General features: G+C 36.3%; 1 protein-coding gene across 15 annotated transcripts in view; it reads right to left on the reverse strand.

The window, feature by feature from the left end:
• The window catches only part of PDE4D (phosphodiesterase 4D), a 1,553,091-nt gene that overhangs the window by 1,031,582 nt on the left and 496,007 nt on the right, over positions 1-25,502 (reverse strand). For 3 of the 15 annotated variants that reach the window (NM_001349243.2, NM_001349241.2, XM_047417295.1), the window contains one exon: positions 3,655-3,727. The exons of the other annotated variants lie outside the window; for them this stretch is intronic. Coding sequence is in view for 2 of the 3 variants with exons in the window: in NM_001349241.2 (NP_001336170.1) it covers positions 3,655-3,666 (12 nt within the window). In the remaining variant the exon portion in view is untranslated. The remainder of the gene's footprint in view (positions 1-3,654; positions 3,728-25,502) is intronic. 15 annotated transcript variants of the gene reach the window in all.

The following is a 25,502-nucleotide window of genomic DNA, read 5'->3' on the forward strand; positions in this document are numbered from 1 at the left end:
AAAAGGTAAATATTTAGACAAATAAAAATCGTATAATATTGCAATGGTGGTGCATAAATTATTTTTAACTCTGGTATAGAACTTAATTATAAAATATAAATATAAAACTATGTTAACAAATGCAAAATATAAAAAGCTGTAATATGTGACATTGATAACATAAATGGGCAGAGATATAAAGGAGTAGAGTTTTGTATAGAGCTGTCTGCTAACTATGATATCCTAAAACTGAAACTGTGGCCTGAGAGCAGTCCTGTCTCCACTTAGCGACCTGTCAGGACTCATTCCCATCCATGTTCTCGGAGACAGGCTTGCCAAACTTGGTTCCACAGCAGATTCTGAGATGGCCCTATAACTTTGCTCCATTCCCACTTAGACTTGGCCCAAGGTCAATCTTGTCCCCAGAGATGTATGCCCATCCAACTCCCTGGAGGCAAGTCCTCTCAGATGTGGACCCTGAAGCAGCAGTGACTTAGTTCCAAGCTCTCTCATGTTGATCTGGGGACGGTTCTCCCTACCCATAGACATACTCAGAGAGCCAGGGGGAGTCCTCCAGAAACCCAGAGGGAACCACGCCTATCTGCATACCTAATAACAGGTCTGCCATTGGTGGAAGAGAAGGTTGTTAAAATCAGCCTGTAAAGACCGAAAGACTGTTTGCTTCTTCAAATTCACAGACACCAATGCAAGCCTACATGGATAACAAATAAATAATATGGAATAATATATTCAAAACATTGAAAGAAAAAAGCCTGTCAAATAAGAATACTGTACCCTGCAAAGTTAGCCTTCAGAAATGGAGAGGTAAAGACATTCCCAGACAAACAAAAACTGAGGATGTTCATTACCACAAGACCTGCCTTATAAGAAATACTAATGTGATTCTTCAAGTTGGAATGAAAAGCTGCTAAATAACAACATAAATACATATATAAGTATACAACTCACTGGAAAAGGTAAATACATAATTAAATTCTGTATACTTGCATGTGGTAATGGTGATGTATAAATTATTTCTAAATTTAGAATAAAAGTTAAAAGGTAAAATAATTAAAAATAAACCATAGTTACAGTAATTTGTTAATGGATATGCAATACAAAAAGATGCAAAGCATGACATCAGTAGCACAAAATGACGGGGGAAAGTAAAAGTGTAGAGTTTTTGTATGTGATTGAAATTAACTTGTCATCAGCTTAAAATAAAATATTATAATTAAAAGATGCTACAAGATGTTTTTTGAAAGTCCCATAGTAATTACAAAGGAAAAAAAAAAAAAAACTCTAATAGATCCAGAAAAGACAACAAGGAATCAAAGCACACCACTACAAAATATCAACAAATCACAAGACAGCAACAACAAAAAAAAGCACAAGAACCACAAACCCATCAGAAAGCAATTTTTTAAATGGCAGTAATAACTCCTTACCTATAAATAATAATCTTGGATATAAATGGATTAAATTATTCAATCAAAAGACACAAAGTGGCTGAATGAATTAAAAAAAATCCAACAAAATGCTGTCTCATATTGGGACAATAAGAGACTCACTTAAGCCTTAAGGATACACATAGGCTGAAAGCAAAGGGATAGGGAAATATATTACATGAACCTCAACAGACCAATAGCAAGTAAGAAGATTGAATCCATAATTAAAAAAAAAAACTCCTAACAAAGAAAAGCACAGGACCATGTGGCAACAAGGGTGAATTGTAGCAAGCATTTTAAGAATTAATACAAATGCTTCTCAAACTCTTCCAAAAAAAGTGAAGAGAAGGGAACACTTCCAAATTCATTTTATGAGGCCAGCATTACCAACAGACCAGAATCAGATAAGGACCCTATAAGAAAAAAAATTACAGGGCAGTATCCCTGGTGAACATAAATGCAAAAGTCCTAAACAAAATACTAGCAAACTGAATTTGACAATACATTAAAAATATAATTCACCATGATTAAGTGGAATTTATCCTAGATTTGCAAGTATGATCCAATATACACAAATCAAAAAATGTAATATACCGAATGAACACAATGAAAGATAAAGATCATATGATCTATAATCATCTCCATAGAGGCAGAAACAGTGTTTGACAAAATCCAACATCCTTTCATGACAAAAACTCTCAACAAATTAGGAATAGAAGGAATGAACCTCAAGACAATAAACGCCATATTTGAGAAGCCCACAGCTAACATCACACTAAATGGTGGAAAACTGAAAGCTGCTTCTCTAAAATCTGAAACAAAACAAGAATGCTTACTCTTGCCATTTGTGTTCAACACAGTAATGAAAGCCCTAGCCAGAGCAATTAGGCAAGAAAAAGAAATAAAAGGCATCCAAATTAGATTTGCAGATGACATTTTCTATATTTAAAAAAAAACTCTAAAGACTTCACTAAAAAACTGTCATAATTAAGAAAATAATTCAGCAAATTTACAAGATATAAAATCAACATACAGCAACTAGTTGCACTTCTATATACTAACAATAAACTATCTGTAAAATAAATTAAGAAAAACAATCCCATTTAATAATATCTAAAAGAACAAAATACTTAGGAATGAATTTACCCAAGGAGGTGAAAGATCTCTACACTTAAAGACATTAATGAAAATGAAAATATATCCCATATTTATGGATTGAAAGATTTCATATTGTTAAAATGTCCATATGGGATCTACATATTAAATGCAATCCTTATCAAAATTTCAATGGAATTTTTCACAGAAATAGAGAAAACCATTGTAAAATTCATATGAAACCAAAAAAGACCCTGAATACCCAAAGCAGTCCTAAGAAAGAAGAATGGCTGGGCGTGGTGACTCACGCCTGTAATCCCAGCACTTTGGGAGGCCTAGGTGGGTGGATCATGAGGTCAGGAGTTCAAGACCAGCCTGGCCAAGATGGTGAAATCCTATCTCTACTAAAAATACAAAAATTAGCCGAACGTGGTGGCAGGTGCTTGTAATCCCAGCTACTAGAGAGGCTGAGGCAGAGAATTGCTTGAACCTGGGAGGCAGAGGTTGCAGTGAGCCAAGATCATGCCACTGCACTCCAGCCTGGGCAACAGAGCGAGACTCCATCTAAAAAAAAAAAAAAAAAAAAGAAGAAGAAGAAGAACAAAGTTGGAAGCGTCATACTCCCTAATTCCAAACTATATTACAAAGCTATAGTAATCAAAACAGTGAGGTACTGGCATAAAAACAGACACACAGAACAATGGAACAGAATAGAGATCCCAGAAATAAACCCTGCATATATAATCAGTTAGTCTTTGACAAGGGCATGAATAATATACAATGGGGAAATAATAGTCTCTTCAATAAATGTTCCTGGGAAAACTGGATGTTCATATGCAAAAGAATGAAATTGTATCCATATTTTATTACATACAATACAAAAATGTGCTTAAAAGAAATTAAAACATTAAACCACAAAACTCCTGGAAGAAAACAGGTGGAAAGCTTCTTGACACTGGTCTTGGTGATTATTATTTTAATATGATACCAAAAGTGTAGGCAACAAAATAAAAAATAAATGGGACTACATCAGACTTAAAAGCTTTTGCACAGCAAAGGAAACAATCAGCAAAATGAAATATTTTCTACATATGGATGATAGAAAATATTTGCAAACCATACATAGTTTTACCTTGGTATCCATGGGGGATTGGTTCAACCTTTCCCACCCTCTGCAGAAACCAAAATCTTCAGATGCTCAAGTCCTGCATATAAAATAGCATAGTATTTGCATATAACCTACATACATCCTCCTGCATACTTTAAATCATCTCTATGTTATTTATAATACTAATACTATGTAAACACTATGTAAATAATTATACTATATTACTTTTTAATTATTTTTATTGTTTTATTATGTTTTTTCAAATATTTTTGATTCTCAGATAATTGAATCCCTTGATGCATAACCCACAGATACAAAGGGCTGAGTGTACCTGATATGTTCAAAATACACAAAAAAATCCTACAACTCAATAGCAAACACTCCAATAACCCATTTTAAAAATAGGCAAGGGACTTGAATAGACATTTCTCCAAAGATGACATACAAATGGCCAAAAGGTATATAAAATGGTGTTCACCATCATTAATCACCAGGGAAATGTACATCAAAACCACAATGCGGTATCTTCTCACACCCATTAGGATGGTCATAAAAAGTGTTGGTGACTATGTGGAGAATTGGGAACGCTTGTAGCACTGCGGTGAAAACGTAAATTGGTAACTCCATTATGGAAAACAGTATGAAGATTCCTCAAAAAATTAAAAATAGAGATACCATATGATCCAGCACTCTAATGTTTGGGTATATATCCAAAGGAAATGAAAGGAGCATGCTGAAGAGATGTCTGCACTGTCGTCTTCATTGCAGCATTATTGACAATAGCCAAGGTATGGAACCAACCTAAGTGTCCATTGACAAATGAATTAATAGAGAAACTGTGGTGTATATACAATGGAATATTATTCAACAGTAAAAAGAAAAACAAATCCTGCCATTTGAGAAAACATGGATAAACCTGGAGGACATTATGCTAACTGAAATAAACCAGACACAGACAGCCAGATGCTGTATGATCTTGCTTATATGTGTAATCTAACATAGTTGAACTCATAGGAACAGAGAGTAGAATGGTGGTTGCCAGAATCTGGGACATGGTAGAAATGGGGTAATGTTGGACACAGCATACTAACTTTCAGTTATAAGACAAATACATTATGGGGATTTAATATTGCAGCTTGGTGACAATAGATAATAATACTGTATTGTTTAAGTTTGCTAAGAGAGTAAATGTTAAGTATCCTTAATACTTAATCCTTACCACACACACACACACATATACACACACATACATACATAGAATAAGGTAACCATTTATAGGGATGGATGCATTGATTAATTTATTGTGGTAATCATTATACAATGTATACCTATATCAAGTCATCACATGTCTACCTCAAATATATACAATTTTTATTTATTATTTATACCTTAATAAAGCTGGGGAAACAAAAAACAAAATATGCTTATCCTCTCAAAATAATAAAACATTAGTCATTTATCAAGCCTTTAGATTTAACTAATAATTATAGAAAATTCAAAGGACAGGTTGAACAACACAATAGAGATACAATCAGCAAAATTGAACCTATGAGAAACTCTGTAAGATGTATGACCCAGTTTTTTTAAAAGGGTGCAGAGAGAAAGGATAGAAAGAGGAAATTTATAGTGTAAAAGAGAATTCAGACACATAATGATTTCGATCTGTTAACCTTAGTTGCTACCATTTCATACCAAAAATTAAAATTATTTAATAAAATTGTTTTAAAAATCAGCTACATTTGATAATAAGAAATTATTAGGAAATTTTTTAGGAAAATTTACAAGCATCTTAATGTTATTGAGGTAATTTTTAAAAGACTATTTTTAGATACATACTAAAGGACTTACAGATGAAGAAATATTGTGTATTGAATTTGAAAATAATTGTAGAGGAAGGAAATATGGGTAAAGGTACAGATGAAACAAGAACTAGTTGTATATCGAGAATTGTTAAAACTGGGTGATGAGTATTTAAGATGCATTATATTAGGTTGGGCGAAAGCAATTGTGGTTTTTGCCATTAAATGGCAAAAAAACACAATTACTTTCGCGCCAACCAATTACTATTCTCTGTACTTTTGCATATATTTGAAATTCTCAACTACGTATTTTTAAGTATAAAAATGTATAATAATTTTCTCCTTTAGTTTACAGAAGGAGAAATAAGGTGCTGTGCAAAAAGGAGGTATCCCTGCAAGCAGAAGAGTCACCAAAGTAAAACAGTGTTTGCATCACCATTTTACCTAAGGCTGGCTCTAAAACTAGGGTTAAGCAATATGTCCCCCATGCCCTATGAGAAGGCTGAGAAAACTAATTAAAACAAATTCATAAATTGCTAAGTATTCCTCAGAGATAGACGCTTGTATACTCAACACATAATAATGATGATAATGATGATACAGGATATTAAGGTTATGTGGCACTGCTCCATAATAGAAATTTTTCCCATTGTTCTGTGCTGTAAACATGATGATGCATAGGTCTAATCCAACCATTAAGTATCCATTAACCTTTTAAAAATTAAGTGCTTCTTTTCTTTTTTCCTGAAACTAAGCAGGAGAAAATGTTATCCCTTATAAAATAACATTTAACAAAAATCTATTACCATATCCAATTTCAAATAAACAGCAAGTTTCCAAGAATTTAATAAGCTATTGCTTTACATAGTTAGCATACAGCACCTCAGGACTGCATTTTAAATACATTCATTTCTAGAACTCAAATTCAGGGCTTTAGACTTTTTATTTTCCCTTCAAGTTTATAAAGAAATTTTTCATCTTTCTGGATTTTGAAAATATTAAAATGCTAGACCTTCACAATAAAAGGTGCATAGAATTTCTATTAAAAACTATATACTTAACTATGTGTTCCTTTGCCACATGTTGGCCTCTGAACATTATTTTCTAGGTTAGTTATAGTATGATTTTTCAAAACGTCACCTTCAGTTACCACCCCAAACAATGAAAACTGAAATCAGTTCTCAATGATTTGATTTGTTATCATGGGTCTTCTTGAAGGATAGAATAACAAATCATGCCAAACCTCAAGGCAACGTGTGTTTTGTAAGTTAAATTACAAATACCAGGGAATAAAAGTATATTTGCATCACGTAGGAATGATTAACTGCTGCTTAGATGACACAAAACGATTGAAAATGGAATAATCACTGTCATCAATATGGACATAAGATATAAGATATAGTTAAATATCAGAAAAATCTCAACTATTGGATATTTTCATTTAAAAATCTAGCCAATAATTTCCTGTCCATACCATAAATAAATAACTGGCAAACTGCTTTCTCAGTTTTGTTACCACACATACCTACACTACTTTAACTTTACTATGCTTAATATTTAATGTAAAATACATAATCCCATTCTATGTCACTGTCTGATAGGCTTTCAGGGTTGGCAGTAACTTTAAATGTCATCTACTTCAGTATTTCCCTTGTTTCATGACCCTCTACTTATATTGTTAATTACTTTTTCCTACAGCACTGACAAGTAGACCATGATTCTATGTTTGAATATCTCCAATTATGAAATCTACAAATATTTAATTAGCTCCTACTACATGGCAGGCACTGATTTAGGTGCTCTGATATAGCTGTAAACAAAATTGACAAAGATCTCTGCTCTCAAAGAGCATATATTCTAGCTGCTCCTGGAATGGAATTCACCACTCGCAACCTGTTTTGCCACATTTATTCAGTTAAGAGTGGCTGAGTACAAACATTGTCAGAAACTCTTCTCGGTACTGATGAACAAAAGATGAATAAAATAGCCAGTCTCAAGTCACTATAAGATAGTTATTCTATATGGTTAATGGAAATATGTTTTCTTATTATTAATACCAGTGTTTAACATTTTGGGGACACAAAGATTGGGTCTAATTGCTCTGCCCTATGAAAGCTCTCCAGATATATTTATATCTCTCCAACCCCAACCTTGTTTTACAGGCCATGAATTCCCCAGTCCTTTTTTATCCCCCCGGGTGTTAGCACCCCGATTGCTATAGGCACCAGAAATTTAAAGTAAATGAGTAAAGTGGTCTGAGAGGAACACAAACACAGGATCACACACCCTCACAGTAGCAAGAGTAAATCCCAGAAATCTATATTTAATGAGACATCTACTAATTTTGAAACATCTGCCGCAAATTCAAATTTCTAAAAACCCCATATGGGCCATTTAGAACACATCTGAAGGCCATAAGTTTGGAACCACAGCTTTAGGTATTCTTCACGTGACACAGTTTGGACTCATCTTTCCATGAGGATTGCAAGTTTTAGGTGTACACTACTTCTCAAAGTTCTTAAAGTGAATTGCCCAGGATTGGGGTCATAGCTCTAGCTATGGGAGAAGCAACATAAATTTACAGCCAAATCATTACCTTTTCTATTCTAAACCCAGTTCTATTCATGAAACCCAAGAATGAATGAATATTTGGGGGAAATAATGTCATATTATTGATTTATGCTTCTGTAACTACCACCTAAACCTACAGTTGTTATTAAACTATGTCTCACCTTTGCTCCTATTGCTCCTCAAACAACATTAGTTCCTACTTCTCTCTGGTGTTTTAGACTTTATATTTTCATTTTAGTATTTTGTCTTATTATATTTACCTCTCCCATTTAGTCTGTCAAGTAATTTTGTATGCTGATTTTGTTAACAGCCATATTAGTGGTTCCTGCCATTTTTATTTCATCTGTGGATTAGCTCCTTATGCCATTAATACCACCCTCAAAATTAACAATGAAAATGGTGAACAGGAAATGTGAAGACCAAATCCTTCAGCCAATTACTAGAGGTCTCTCTCTAAACATTGATTCATGAATACAGGCATTCAGCTGTTACTCTGCCTAACAGTATCATCAACTGCCTTCCTACATCTTAAGCATAAGTTCATCATGGAAGGTTTTTATCAAACGTTGAAATTCAGATAGACAGGGGGAGCAGCACTCCTCAGATACACTGGTCTTATGGGAAAAGTAAGTTATTTAATCTGATATGCTTTACTATTAGTGACCTAATACAAGCTCCAGGTGATCATCACTTTCCTTTCTAAAGGCTCACAAGATTTTTTTTTAAGATCCATTGAAGAACTTTTCCTAAGATTAATCAATTGATTGATTCATTCATTCAATAATTATTTATCGAGTGCCTATATTAGGCACTGGAAATACAGTAGTGTGACAATGACAAACATTCCTGCCTTCATAGAATTTCACTAGTGTAGGGGAAGAGAAAATAAACAGTATAAACAAGTGAGCTATATAGAATGTTAGCGTCATGTGTTTAGGATATAAAAAGCACTAAAGTAGATAGAATGTGTTAAAATCAGATCAAGTTAGAAAAATTTTTTAAAGTTTATTGAGCATACAAAAGGACAGTTTGCAAACCAGGGACCTCAAATCAAAAGTGGTAAGAAGCTCTGTTCACAGCATTTAAAATGCAGCTTATAAAGCATAATTAAGGAACTGCATCTGTCTTCGCTGTGGTTGGCTATCATAAACTTATATTCCTTTTAGGACAAGTAAAACTGTTTAAGCTGATTTGTCTGCAGCTGATTGGTTTAATTTTACTGAGTCATGTTGACAAGGATGAAAAGCTCACATTTCACGTTTTGTTTATGGTTAGACCTAGTATTTTGGAGAAAATTGAGATAATTTAAATTTTGGTTATGTGGCTAATGGCAGTTGGTCTTGGAGTATGTACATTGTGGCCTCTATTTTTTTTAAACAAAAGTCTATAGAATGGGGAGTAATTTTAGATAGGGATCCATGAGAAGCCTCTGTGAAAGTAACATTTGCAAAAAGAACTAAAAGAAATACAATTAATGTCCTACTCCCTAAGGACATAAGTGGGGAGAATTCACTTTCCTCTTCTTCCTGAAAATTAGAATAACTCAATCCCATCTCTAATATACTGTTACGTATTTCCTCAAAGCCACTGGCAAGTTATTTAACTTTTATATGTCTACTCATTTGTAGAACAGGCATGAAAATAGTGCCCACCGCATGCAGTAATTGTGAAGATTCAGTGAGATAAAGCACATAGTTTGCAACAGTGCAAACACTTGCAAAGCACAATGTATTCTGAAACATGTTTCTCTAATGCAAATACATTCATACAAAATTGATAAATTAGGGGTACATGTCAATATACCATGGACATTTTGTGGATTCAGATGTGATTTTCCCCAGCACATTATGTTTTCACAAAGTAAAAATCAGTCAAATGCAAATACACAAAAAAGTTTATCACTCCCCAGGGGTGGTATGTGGTACTGCACATGACATCTGTGTACCCCTCATACTTCCTCTTGCCTCATTTTGGCCACAGGCTTTGTGTTCATAAAGCCTATTGCATGGAACACTCGATTCTTTGTGCATTTTGCTCTTGTCTTATGGTGAAATGTTGTATTTGTTTCAAATATTATGATGCAGACTGAATATCTTCTACAACATAGGATAGCTATCTAATGTGCAATTTTGAGATTATCTTTAGTTCTAAATCATTTTTATTTTACTCAATTTTATAGGTAGTAATGATTTTTTAAACCTTTGTAGTAAACACTAGTAAAGCATTCAGTTATTGGTATTATCTAAAATAAACTCAAACTAAAACCTCTTAATAACTTCTCACTTACATCAACAACAGTAAAAAGTGTGTTCTGCATGGCACAAAGGCCATGCATATGTGAGATGAAAATGAATTGTATCACTTCACAGGAGAAATTTATCTCAACCTGCACTGTTTCTCAGGAGAGGACTGATGCAAACACAGTGCTAATAAAGACAAGATTGTAATTCTGATTCCTTACCAGTCCCTGCCAGCTTCACTGAGGAAAACAGGTCTGCAAACACAAAAGGCCCCATTAGTTCCAGCAATCACTTCAGAAAAGATGTCATTTTTCATAGAGAATTTCAAACAAAAGAACATGGACAGCTCCTCCTAAGTGGTCAGCACTATTGAGAGTGAGAAATGGAGCTCCAGAAAGGGCATGTTCTGCTGATGGGTGGGTCAAAGACCTATGCATAGATTCCTCATTTGAATATCTATGTGGCATGAGAGGAAAAGACAAGGTGCAGGATTTAGCCTGTGGCAGTAGTTTGCTGACACCTGTCCTAGACTGTTACTAGATGAGAACAAATAATACTTGGCAAAAACGAGAAGTCTGGTTAAAAATGACTGTTATTCGTGAGTGCTGGGAAAAGCGACACACATTTGCAAAAGTTTTTGTAACAACGTTTACTTCTATACATTTCTTAATTTTATGCCAAAGAGACCATATTACACAAAGTTTTTATTAAGCCCTGTCTTTTCTACTGATACTATATTGACATTAAAAACAGCAGTCTATGCATAGGTCCTTTTCTGCTGTTGTACCACATGGCAGTTTAGTATTTGTAGCAGAAATGATGTGGCCCACAAAGCTGGAAATATTTACTACCAGGCCATTTACAGTAAAAGTATGCTGACCCTTGCTCTAGGACATAAAGAAGCAGCAGAGCAAAATATGGAGACCCTGTTTCCTAATTAATAACTCGGTCATCAAAAATCTTAATTACAGCAATTCTTAAAAAGTGGTTCTAATTGACAGTTATGTTCTCCTCAGACTCAGGATCCACAAAGGAACCGGGTAGTGGAGAAATAAAGGCTCTCATAGACATTAAAAATCCATTCTAAATATGTAGATGCTATAGATCTTCAGGCTACTGACCATGACAGCCACTAACCGAGACATCACTATCACAGTGGTGCATGAAAGTAGGACTCATATAAATTGGACTATAGGTAGAAATGCTGTGTGCTGACTCACTGCCAAGAATCTCAGAAAAGCTATAAAAATGAACAATAATATATAAAAATAAGTCAGATCTAAAAATTACTCCCTATCAATGCCTAAGATACATTCATAATTGAAATCTTTAAAAGAAATTAATTGAACTTTTTAATGGGCCGAATGAGAAGGAAAAGAAACTATCCTCCCAACAAGAACTGCATGAGTGCATGCTACTTTTTCCTTTTAATGTATTTCTTTTGAATGCCACTCTAAATTTCTCCTTTTTAATCAAGAAACTCTACTTTTCTTAAACATGACTTTAAATGATTTCATTTTATTCTATTCAGAATTTTCAATGGAAAACGAAAGTACAATGTGACTTTATAAGAGAGCATAAGCTTTCAGACTGAAATAATAATCAGCATGAGGAAAGATAAGATGCTCAGAATGATTCAGAAAAAATCCTGACTTCTGCAACTGAGACATAGGAGTACCGGCAATTCCGATTTCCCTCTGGGTAGGAACCATTCAAGGAAGACGACTGCTATAACCAAAAAAAATGGACTATTCTACAGATGGAACAAAAGATGGCAGAGATAGCATCATTTTTTTGAACTGTGTGAGTACTACAAATGCCATCGACAGCTTCATAGCCTGACAGTTTCTGTGTGGGAGTCCCCTTTTTAGGAAAACATCATATTCTCAAGAAGTTAAAGATTAGATCATTGAAATAATTGAAGGAACAACCTGAATCCCATGAAAATTTAAAGGGGTTCTGATGCATGTCAGGAGCTACCAATTTGCTGCCATCGTATTCTAACCAGATGTCTTTTTCCACCTATGGCTCAAGATCTGCCCACATGCTGTGAACAAGTTTTACTTTTGGCTATAATTATGTTTGGAGACAATGGCTCCAAACTACCAAATTTTTCTCTTGCCTCTGCGCCCCATAGCTATTTGTCTCAACATACTGGGTATATCTAATTCTTGTTTTCCTGGATTTCTTGCCTGTGTCCCTGATTTCTGCTCTCTGACTCCATAAGCTTCTATATCTGGTTTAGATTCATGAGTGCCCTGACTCCGCTTTTTTGGACCCCGTATAATCCTGACTTATTTTCTGGTTCCAAACTTCACCATCACTGTGTGTTCTCATATAACTGTGATCCCTGATCTCAAACTTCCACCTCTCCCAAGGCCAACAGCTTTTGGCCAAGAACTAATAGTATCTAACACCAACCTTTCTTCTCAACTTTTAACCTTTTTACCTTTAATCACCTTGAGCTATGCAAGCGCTGATTTCTGATTACAACCTGGTCCTGATATGATAAAACCACAGTTAGTCCATTCAAAACCTAACTGCTGGTCTGCCAAGTACACCATTAAAACATAGTAGCCATTGTTAAGTACCACTGTGAGTACCTCGTGTGTGTGTGTATGCATATGTGTGTACAGTTGTCACAAAGATCTAGTAGCATCTGTGTCATGTTTTCTATTTTACAAGCAGCAAATAAGAATCCCAGAAGCACAGCAATTTGCCCTAAGTTATACTACTAGTAAAAGGTACAAGAAGTTGACAAATTTATTTCTGTCCAGCTACCAAACTACTCTGTGTGAGAGATTGTTATATGGGTGACCCATAATAAATGCTACCTCTTGGCACTGCCACTTCATGTAGTTTCTCCCATGTTGATCCTGGCCTTGCCATATGACTTACTTTGGCACATTAGAAAAATTATGCAAGCAAATGCTAGATAAGTGCTTGCACATTGGGCAGGCCTGTTCCTTTAAAACACCTTCCCTTGGAGTCAGCCTCCATATAAAAAATCTGACCAGCCTGCAAGAGACCGAGACCATCCTGGCCAACATGGTGAAACCCCATCTCTGCTAAAAAATACAAAAATTAGCTGGGCATGGTGGTGCACACCTGTAGTCCCAGCTACTCAGGAGGCTGAGGCAGGAGAATTGCTTGAACCCAGGAGGCGGAGGTTGCCGTGAGCCGAGATCATGCCACTGCACTCCAGCCTGGCAACAGAGCAAGACTCCACCTTAAAAAAAAAAAAAAAAAAAAAAAGTCTGACCAGTCTGAATCAGCCATACTATTAGGAAGCCCAAGATGATTCCACATAGAGGCCATATGGAAAAGCTCAGAGGTGCCAGGTATATGACTGAAACTTTCTTGGACCATCCAGCCCAGACCAGCTATTGACTAAATGTAGCCACGTAAGTGACCTACCTAATCAATACCACATGGAGCAGAAGACATACTCAGGAAAATCCTACCCATCAGAAATAGGAAACTGTTATTTTAATCCACAAAGTCCAACTCAGGACTTGCTGGCTTAGAAAATAATATTATTTCTCATTCTCAACCCCTCCAGATGGCAGAAGGTTTTCAGAGTAAAAAATGGTCTCTGATCAAATCAAGTACTGCTAGTACAATGTGGCCTCAGGGTAAATATCAAGTCAAGAATGTGGTAGTAAGATACCTCTTAAAACCCTTATAAGTTCCACTCTGCTAGGAGACAAGGGTGATTAAACTCTTAAAAACGTTACTGCACAGGATTCTGACTCTCAGTCTAAAGAAGAAAAGTGTCTGTCTTAAAGAGACTTGGGGAAATAGCTTTCGCCCAATGGAATGGAATATAACTGGATACATTAGAAAATTACAAAGTTTAAAAAGAAGCTGTGCCACCTTGGAAGAAAAGGGAGAGTGACAGGACAAAATGAAAAGAAGATTTTAGGCCTCCAAACCTTTAATGGAATAAATAGTCTCACAAAGTGACTCCGTTTGCGAATGAGGGCCATTTCTTACAGAAAAGGAAGGTTAACTTAGAGGAGAGAGTCAACAGGCACTGAAAACAATGGAATAGAAATCCACATCCAGAGAACAGGATCCTTTTCAGGAAACCTAGATTTGAGGGAATTGGTAACATGTTCCCAGCTGGATCTCAGAATTTTTATGAAGCACCGATTGCTATGTGCCTCTCATTTCCCTCCTTTTGAATGGCTGACTTTCTTGCTAGCGATACAACAATCCCTGTCTCATCAATGTATGTTGCAGGGAAGGGGGATTACACAGAAGGTATCATTTTAGGTACAAGTATCTAGATAAAGAGGGAACATCAACTTTAAATATACCCAATTTAGATTATGTGATTTTGGACCTTGAAGCTGGGCCCAGCACTGTAATGTGATGAGACTTTCTGAAAAGGGACAAGAAGTGCTGTGGCCAGAGGGAAGATTGTGATAGCTAGTCTCCAACTATTCCCCTCATCCCTGCCCACATATGCTATTCCTCACACCATGAAGTAGGTTGTAGTTTTCTTCCCCTTAGCTATGAGCTAGACCTGTGACTTTCTTTCACCAATAGAATGCAACAGTAATGATATCCCGGGACTCCTGAGCTCAGGTCTGACAGACCCACTTGCTCTCCCTGGGAAGCCAGCTGCTATGCTGTAAAGAAGCCCAAGCTTCTTTGGGCTAAATGATGAGACACTACACAGAGAGTATGATGATTAACTTTATATGTCAGCTTGGCTAGCCCATGGTACTTGGATATTTGGTCAAACATATCTATATTGCCGTGAAACTATTTTTTAGATGAGATTAATCAGTAAATGAGTAAAATAGAGTACCCTCCATAATGTGGATGGGCCTCACTCAAAGAATTGAAGGCCTTAAGAGCAACAATAACAAAAACAACTGATGTTCTCAAAGGAAGAGGGAAATCTGCCAGTTGATAGCCTTCGGATTTGAGTTGCAAAATCCACTCCTTGGGTCTTCAGTCTGCTGGACCATCCTGCACGTTTTGGACTCACCAACTTCCATGACCAAATGAACCAATTCTTTTTTTTTTTTTTTTGAGACAGAGTCTTACTCAGTCACCCAGGCTGGAGTGCAGTGGCACGATCTCGGCTCACTGCAAGCTCTGCCTCCTGGGTTCACGCCATTCTTAAAATAATCTCTGTTCTCTCTCTCTCTCTGTGTGTGTGTGTGTGTGTGTGTGTGTTTGTGTGTGTGTATACATACATATATATACACATACACACAGGCATACCTCAAAGATATAGCAGGTACAGTTTCAGACCACTGCAATAAAGCAAATATTGTAATACAGTAACTCACATGAATTTTTTTGTTTCTCAGTGAATATAAAAGTTATGTTTACATTGCACTATCCTGCAGTCTATTAGGTGTGTAATGGCATTGTAACTAAAAAGTGTACACACTTTAGTTAAAAATACTTTATACTAGAAAATGCTAACGATCACCTGAGCCTTCAGCAACTTGTACTCTTTTTGCTGACAGAGGGTCTTGCCTAAATGGTGGTAGCTGATGACTGATCAGAGTGGGGGTTGTGAAGGTTGGGGTGGCTATGTCAATTTCTTAAAATAATACAACAATGAAGTTTGCCACATCCATTGACTCTTCCTTTCATGAAAGATTTCTCTGTAGCATGTGGTGCTGTTTGATAACATTTTTCCCTCAGTATATCTTCTTTCAAAATAGAAGTCAGTTCTCTCAAGCCCTGCCACTGCTTTATCAAGTAAGTTTATATTATATTCTAAAACCTTTGCTGCTATTTCAACAATGTTCACAGCGTCTTCATCAGATGTAGATTCCATTTCAAGAAATCACTTTCTTGGCTCCCATAAGAAGTAGCTCCTCATCTCTTCAAGTTTTATCATGAAATTGCAGCAATTCAGCCACTTCTGCAGTTACTTCCTCTACTGCAACCTTGAAACTTTCAAAGTCATCATGAGGGTTAGCATCAACTTCTTCCAAATGCCGGTAAATGTTGATATCTTGACCTCTTCCTGAGAGTCATAAATGTTCTTAATTGTATCTAGAGTAGTAAATACTTTCCAGAAGTTTTAAAATTTACTTTGCCCAGATCCTTTAGAGAAATCACTATCTATAGCAGCTACAGCTGTATGAAATGTGTTTCTTAAATAGTATGACTTGAAAGTCAAAATGACTCCTAGATCCATTGATTGCAGAATGAATGTTGTTTTTGCAGGCATGAGAGAAACATTCATCTTCTTGTATACCTTCATCAGAGTTCTTGAGTGATCAGGTGCGTTGTCAATGAGCAGTAATATTTTGAAATAAATCTCTTTTTCCTAAGCAGTAGGTCTCAATAGTGGGCTTAAAATATTCAGTATATCATGCTGCAGACAGAAATACGGTAATACAGGCTTTGTTGTTCCATTTATAGAGCACAAAGAGAGTAGATTTAGCATATTTAATTTAATTTAATTTTAAGTTGTTGGATACACGTGCAGGACATGCAGGTTTGTCACATAGATAAATGTGTGTCCTGGTGGTTTGTTGCACCTATCAACTCATCACCTAGGACTTAAGCCCCACATGCATTAGCTATTTATCCTGATGCTCTCCCTCCCCTAGCACCCCCTGAATGGGCCCCAGTGTGTGTTGTTCCCCTCCCTTTGTCCATGTGTTCTCATTGTTCAGCTCCCACTTATAAGTGAGAACATGTGGTGTTTCGTTTTCTGTTCCTGAGTTAGTTTGCTGAGAATAATGGCTTCCAGCTCCATCCATGTCCCTGCAAAGAATATAATCTCATTTTTTTTATGACTGCATAGTGTTCCATGGTGTATATGTACCATATTTTCTTTATGCAGTCTATCATTGGTGGGCATTTGGGTTGATTCCATGCCTTTGCTATTGTGAATAGTGCTGCAATGAACATACATGTGCATGTATTTTTATAATAGAATGATTTATATTCCTTTGGGCATATACCCAGTAATGGGATTGCTGAGTCAAATGGTATTTCTGGTTCTAGGTCTTTGAGGAATTGCCACACTGTCTTCCACAATGGTTGAACTAATTTACATTCCCAGCCACAGTGTAAAAGCGTTCCTATTTCTCCACAGCCTCAACAGTATCTGTTGTTTCTTGACCTTTTAATAATCGCAATTCTGACCGGCATGAGATGGTATCTCATTGTGGTTTTGATTTGCATTTCTGTAATGATCAATGATGTTGAGCTTTTTCTCATGTGTCTGTTGGCTGTATGTATGTCTACTTTTGAGAAGTGTCTGTTCATGTCCATCAGATTAACAGCAGACCTTTCAGAAGAAACCCTACAAGCTAGAAGAGATTGGGGGCCAAGATTCAACATTCTTAAAAAAAAAAAAGAATTTCAAACCCAGAATTTCAAAGCAGCCAAACTAAACTTCATAAGCAAAGGAGAAATAAAATCCTTTTTAAACAAGCAAATGATGAGGGAATTAGTCACCACCAGGCCTGCCTTGCAAGAGCTCCTGAAGGAAGCACTATGTAAAGGAGAAACCATTACAAACCACTGCAAAACCATACCAAAATATAAAGACCAAGGACACTATATAGCAACTGCATCAACAAGTCTGCAAAATAACCAGCTAGCATCATGATGACAGGATCAAATTTACACATAACAATATTAACTTTAAATGTAAATGAGTTAAATGCCCCAATTAAAAGACACAGAATGGCAAGCTGGATAAAGAATCAAGACACATCAGTGTGCTGTATTCAAGGGACTCATCTCATGTGCAAAGATACACAAAGGCTCAAAATAAAGGGATGGAGGATAATTTACCAAGAAAATAGAAAGCGGAAAAAAGCAGGGGTTGCAATCCTAGTTTCTGACAAAACAGATTTTAAACCAACAAAGATCAAAAGAGACAAAGAAGGACATTACATAATGGTAAAGGGATTAATTCAACAAGAAGGGCTAACTATCCTAAATATATATGCACCCAATACATGAACAGCCAGATTCATAGAACAAGTTCTTAGAGACCTACCAAGAGACTTAGACACAATAACAGTGGTAGACTTAAACACCCTACTGTCAATATTAGGCAGATAATCAAGACAGAAAATTAACAAGGATATTCAGGACCTGAACTCAGCTCTAGGTCAAGTGAACCTGATAGGTATCTGCAGAACTCTCCACCCAAAAACAATAGAATATACATTCTTCTTGGTGCCACAAGACAACTTACTCTAAAATCAATCACATAATTGGAAGTAAAACACTCCTCAGCAAATGCAAATGAACTGAAATCATAACAGTCTCTCAGACCACATCACAGTCAAACTGGAACTCAAGATTAAGAAACTCATTCAAAACCACACAACTACATGGAAACTGAACAACCTGCTCCTGAATAACTCCTGGGCAAATAATGAAATTAAGGCAGTAGTCAAGAAGTTCTTTGAAACCAGTGAGCATAATTCTTAAGAGCCCTAGGATTTTTGAAATGCTAAATGAGCACTGGCTTTAATTTAAAGTCGCCAGCTGCATTAGCCCTAAGAGTAGAGTCAACCTGTCCTTTGAAGCTAGGCACTGACTTCTCCACTCTAACTATGAAAGTCCTAGGTGACATCTCTTCCAATGTAAGGCTGTTTCCTCCACATTGAAATCTGTTATTTAGTGTAGCCACTGTGATCAATGGCATTAGCTAGGTCTGGGTAACTTGATGCAGCTTCTACATCATTTGCTGCTTCACCTTTTACTTTGATGTTATGGAGATGGCTTCTCTCCTTTAAACCTCATGCACCAACCTCTCCTAGCATCTGACTTTTCTCCTTCAGCTTCCTCACCTCTCTCAGCCTTCATAGAAATAAGGAGAGTTTGGCGCTTGCTTGAGATTAGGCTTTGGTTTAAGGGAATGTTGTGGCTGGTTTGAACCTTCTGTCCAGACCACTAAAACTTTCTCTATATGAGCAAGAAGGCTATTCGCTTTCTTACCACTCATGTGTTCACTGGAGTGGTATTTTTCAATTTCCTTCAAGAACTTCTTTGCTTCAAGAATTCAGAACTTCAAGAACTTTTATTTTTTTTTTTTGCATTCACAACTTGGATAGCTGCTTGGCACAAGAGGCTTAGCTTCCAGCCTATTTCAGCTTTCAACGTGCCTTCCTCACTAAGATTAATCATTTCTAGCTTTTAATTTAAAGAAAAAGATTGAAAACTCTTGAACATGTAGAGGCCATTGTAGGATTATTAACTGGCCTAATTTTAATATTGTTGTGTCTCAGAGAATAGGGAGGTTTGAGGAGAGACAGAGAGATAATAAATGGACTAAATGGATGGTTGGTGGAGCAGTCAGAAAACACACAATCTATCACTTAAGTTCACAATCTTATATAGGCATGGTTTTTGAAACCCTAACACAATTATGATAGTAACAACAAAGATCATTGGTCACACATAACACCGTAACAAATATAATGATAATGAAAAAGTTTGAAATATTGTGAGAATTACCAAAATGAGACACAAAGTGAGCACATGCTGTGGAAAAATGGCATCAATACACTTGTTAGATGTAGAGTTTTCACAAACCTTCAATTGGTGAAAAAATAAAATATCTGTCAAGCACCATAAAGCAAAACACAATAAAATGAGGCATGCCTCATTTGTATGTTTATGTATACACACATACACACACAAACATACAGGCTGTATGTATACATATACACACACACAGCCTATTGGTTCTATTTCTCTAGAGAACACTATGACAGTGAAAGAAAAAAGATAATATACAGAGGAGCCCTGAGGCACCACAGATAGGAGTGAAGGCTTCCTGGAATTTCCAGCCCAGACCAACCCAGCCCAGCCCAGCTCAGCCCAGTCCTGTCACCAGTTGAATGCAGCTAGGTTGATGCCACATGAAGAGAAGAATCACCAAGCCAATACCTGATCTGGCCTAACAAATTGTGAGGAAAAAAAATAATTATTGTTCTTAAGCCATTACATTAAGCCACAACATAAGGAAGTGAAACATCTTCTTTTCTTCCAGCCATTCTCTCTCCCATCCTAGACATAAGCTTAATCTTGTTTAGAGGGTTAGCTCTGAAGGAAGTGGAAGGTCAGCCTATAACTGGGAATTGCCCACCTCCAATCAGTAAAGTCTGAATTTTATTCAAACCAATCATTTGGGATCATGTTTGCATTTATATGACAATTTGGAGATTTTTAATAGCCAGCTATTTGTTCATCTTATAGCTGTAGCCTTCATTTAAGGTCTCTTTATAAAGATAGATAGGAAAGGGGGAAAATCCAGACAAAGGAACTATAAGGGGAAAATAAAAGTTAGCCCTCCTACACAAAACCTCATTGGTCCCTAGAGTCTCTATGTCATAATAGATTCAGGAATGCAGTCATTGGAATGCAAGAAGGGCTGCTGCAAGTGGCACCAAGTCACTCAATGACATGCAACAAGAACAACTGGACACAGCTTTATACCTCCTGAGAGCAGTGTTAGGTAATAGGCATAGCCACAGAAGCCTTTGAGAATCCAAGCAAAATGAAATCAATTAAATTCTGCCTATCGCTCTTCAAGGAAAATGTCACGCTGTAGCCACCTTGAGACGCAAGCTCAGGGCACAAGCAGTGCTATAACGTGGCAAACAACAAAAGTGGATGCAGAGTGCTGTGCAAAGCTGCTCAGAATAAGAATTTGTGGTAATTTTAAGCATGGGATCCATCTGTCAATGCAGGAAAATGACACATTTGAGGGTACATTTATTTATGTAAGGAGTGTAAATTTTATACCATCATTAGCATACTGGATGAAAAGCTGAGGTCAAATTTCAAGTCAATTACCGGATGCTCTGTTATAAATGCAGGAATACTAAATACACTAAGAATATTGGTATTGATACTTCTGTAAATCTAACCAGTGTTCTTCCTCTCTCAGGAGAAAGCAGGAGCAGACCCTGTCTTTAATGTCCTGGTGGTGGACCATTTCAAGTCCATCCTCAAGAAGCACATCTTAGCAGTAAATATTGCATTTTTATTTTATTTTTACCTTAATTTTATTTTTTAAAAGAGATGGAGCCTTGCTACATTGTGTAGGCTAATCTCAAACTCCTAGGCCCAAGTGATTCTTCTGACTTGATCTCCCAAAGTGCAAGGATTGCAGGTGTGAGCCATCACACCTGGCTGAATATTGCATGTTTTTGTGTAATTAGTAGAAACAAACATCCCTCCTCTTTGGACATGGAGCTGTATTAATGGCTGCTGTATTACTGGCTGCTGTCTTCCAGCTGTGGTTTTGTCAAAGATTCCAATTTAGAGAGCCAGAGTCTGGATAGGACAGTTTTAAAGGTCATTTTTTGTAGCTTTATTCTCCTTAAAAGAGCTCCTTTTCCAAAATCAGCTTAGCTTAGAAGATGGGCTAAAAACGTTTTTGTAGATGGACTCCTCTGTACCCATACCACCTCCTAAAGTTCCCTATAATCTTTCGAATAACAATAAAGTCACCATATTTATTGAATCCTTATAACAGAGGAGTATTCCTGTAGAAGAAATGGGGAAGTTAATTTAAGTTATGGAGAGTGCCTAGACTCAAGAATTTTATATTCCTTTAGACAAGGTCTTTAAATGTTTTCCTTTAATCATAATCCAATTTTTAAAATGTGAAAACCAATTATGGCTCTAACTTTTTTGCTATACTTACCTCTTTCTATTACAGACAGGGATATCAATGAAGTTCTTGAGAGCATCCCAGCTCTCTCTCTGTCTAAGATGTCACATCCCTCATTACATCTCAATGTCCCTCTCAGCCTGCGCTCCCAGGCTCCAGATACAGCTGCGAAGCCTCTATTACAAACATATTCCTTTGCCGATGCTGACCCCTCATTGTTATTTGGTAATTACTTATTTCCACTTTAGTTGACTCCCTATCACAGACTCCACAGTGATGATTCTAATTCATTCCATTCTTCTTAGGCTCCTCTTGTGTCTCCCTGGTCCTCTAATTAGTAAGGCATTTCTTTCTGTGCCAAGTGGAAACCATTACATTGTCTCTCTCTCTTATCTATTTCAAAGACACCGAGTCTCCCTCCATCCGCATCTCTTTCCTCCTCCACTGATGCTGACTCCTCAACACATCTATAGCCTCAGCTCGACCTGTCACCAGCTCGGGACATTAATGCTCCATTGAATGTCCCTGTGTCTCTAGCACAGTGGTTAAATTCAGGAGGCCTCTGGAGCAAAACCTCCTTCTTTGAATCCTGACACTCACTTGTTTGTACGACCTCTCTGTGCCTTAATCTCCTATCCAAAATATGAATAATAATAGCAGGATTTATCTCTTAGGTGTCTCATGAAGATTAAATTAGCTAAAGCATTTAGAACTCTCCACGGTGCATAATAAGCAGTCAAATAATGGCAGCTATTATAGCATTCAGCCCTCCTTAAATTCTTTCTCTACCTCAACTGTTTTCTTAATTTCCCCATGTCCTTAGCATCTGGGCTCTTGTTTTCTTATTTCAACTTTTTTGTTTGAAAGCATGGTTTATACCTACCATTGAACTTGCTCATAGCTGCCTGACTCAACTCCTAGCAATTTCAGTTGCATTCCCCCCACCAATAATTTCCTAGACCTCAGCTCCAAAGGCCTGTTTCTTTTCTTATCTGTCTTCATTTCCCCACTAACAATGTCTTTTAAGCCTTTCTTCCTGCTTCACATGCATCAATCACCCTGATGCTCCTAGTTTTCCCCTTTTCAGATTTCTTTCTCTACTTCTACAGGTCCCCTTCTCTCCACTCCTAAAAGGGTGTTACCTGAAGTTTGGCTCTATTCTTTTTTGTGTCACTGCTTCTCACACTAGTTGCATTATAAGGCTGGCTGAAACAACCTTAGAAGCAGAATAATTCATACTATTCCAGGTCAGCAAACTTCATGTTTTAAGTCCTGTAAGTAGAAAATATTCACATATAATGAGTGACTGGAAAATATGGTACATCAGAGTTGTTGGGGAAGCAAGTGTCACTAACACTGTAATCAAATCAAAGTGAACGTATGCACGACTGTGACCACAGATATCACTAATAATTCCCAACCATAGGGCTAGTATTTCTCTAAAAAATGGGTCAGAGAATTTTGCTCTTGATTTTCCTCAACATGTACAATGTCTTAGTAAAACTAAAAAATTTTACAAAATACAATATTTTTAATATTCACTATTTTAGCTAAAACTGTAATATAATGAGAAAAGACTAAGAAAACTTATACTACTACCTAGATGGATTTTTCCTTAAAAAATAAATAGTATTCATGGTTAGAATTTTCTAATTCAACTATAAGTGAGAGGGAGAGAGAAAGAGAGAGAGAATTTATAAAACAGTGTGTCTTCTTACAAACCATAATTGTTTATTTTATTTTTGATTGAACATGCACACACATAACCACTGGTTCAACCACATGTGGTTCAAGTACCACAAATGTACTTAAACAAAAGTTCTGTGTACAGACATGAAACTATGCTTAGTTGCATTTCTTGTTGAAGCTAGTCTGAAAATAGCAATAAGTCTAGAGATTCTAACTTTAGAGAACTGTCACTCTGTATTTATTGTTTCAAAGATGTATTTATTTAAAATTACAGTTTCAATTAGAAATTTACAGAGGTGGTCACAAGCAGTTATGTTTGGAGCAAAAGCTTGTAAGTGGTAAAAATGGAAAAGATACTGAGATGAATTCAGAACAACCTTGAAGCATGGGGTACATCACAGGGCATTTGGTGATTTAAGGCATCATGTAACAGTCCCCAAGCACAATTATGGAACTCCAAATGAGCACTGCAGTTGGCCACAAATTTGTAAGTCATATTTTGATGTTCATTTAAAACAGAGGTTTTTAAATCACGGTGGAGATACAAAATGAGCCTTATTTAGCTGTTCAGTGGAAAACTCTGAAAAATTGTTCCACGGAAACATCCATTGAATATATAACATATAAATCAATTTGGAAAAACAGTTTGAAGTTAAAAGGCAAGAGAGCAAAATCTTGGTTATGAGCAATGCTTCAAACGCACAAACAAGCAGAGAAAAAAAAAAACTGCTTGAAGTATCATCAAGGTTTGTTTGTTTCAAAAGCAGCAAGGAAGGTAGAACTCCTGGCAAGGGATAGTTTGGTGGAGCTCTGTGTGGGCAAGTTAGATTAGATTTGTTCTGATTCAAAAAGAGGCACTTGAGATGTATTTTTGAGGTGTATTTTTACAGGACAAAGCATTGTTGAATAATCAAGAATATGAAGATAAATTGGATTTATACCAATTATTAGACTGAAGATACAGATGTAAATGATGTAACTACTTTATTAGTTGGCCTCACTTATAAAGTAGTCTGTCAAGATATTGCCAAAGAACTTGAAAGTAGAACTTATGAAAACGTTTGCAGCAAGATGTGAGCATTAGAAGAAAAATGTTAGACTCACATCTATGTTAAGCAAACCTTTGGAAGCAATAGTTTGAATCAAAGACATTATGCCCCCGACTACTCCAGCAACTAATGATTTTATTTATTCATCCCAAAGTTTTGAGCTTCTTGAATACCAACCACTATGCTAGATCCTGGGGATTCAACTCCAAGTAAAGCAGACATAGTCTTAACTTTAAAGTGTTTTGCATTTACCAAGAGACCACTCAAAACAACTTTTTTTCTTGATTTTTCTCAGCATGTAAAATGATTTAGTAAAGCTAGAAAATTTTACAATATACCATATTTTTAATATTTATTATTTTAGGTAAAATTCTAATATAATGAGAAGAGACTTAGAAAGCTTGTGCCACTACTAGATGTATTCTTCCTGAAAAATATAAATAGTACTCATGGTTAGAATTTTCTAATTCAACCATAAATTAGTTTATTTCCATGTAAGTAACAAAGACATCATGATTTAAAAAAAACCCTAAATATTAATCACTTAAACCCAGGAGGTGGAGTCTCACTGCATTCAATCAGTTGAACCCAGTGAGACAAGATTGCACCACTACACTCCAGCCTGGGCAATACAGTGAGACCCTGTCTCAGAAACAACAAACAAACAAATCCTAAATATTATGAGTTAATTTATTTTTTATACTTAACAACAAATTGTGGGTCACATGGGATTGTCTAGTTAGCAGATTTTTCCCTCAAAGTCAGAACACTCTCATTCAACTATTAAAAAGGTAATGTGGTGATGGTTTTTATAAATGGTAGCAAAATTATAACATGAAATGATAGTTTGAGAGTTGAATAGAGATATATCAGAATGTGAATAATTTGA

This window comes from Homo sapiens, chromosome 5 (genome assembly GCF_000001405.40).
Source record: "Homo sapiens chromosome 5, GRCh38.p14 Primary Assembly".
In the NCBI taxonomy this organism is placed as follows: domain Eukaryota; kingdom Metazoa; phylum Chordata; class Mammalia; order Primates; family Hominidae; genus Homo; species Homo sapiens.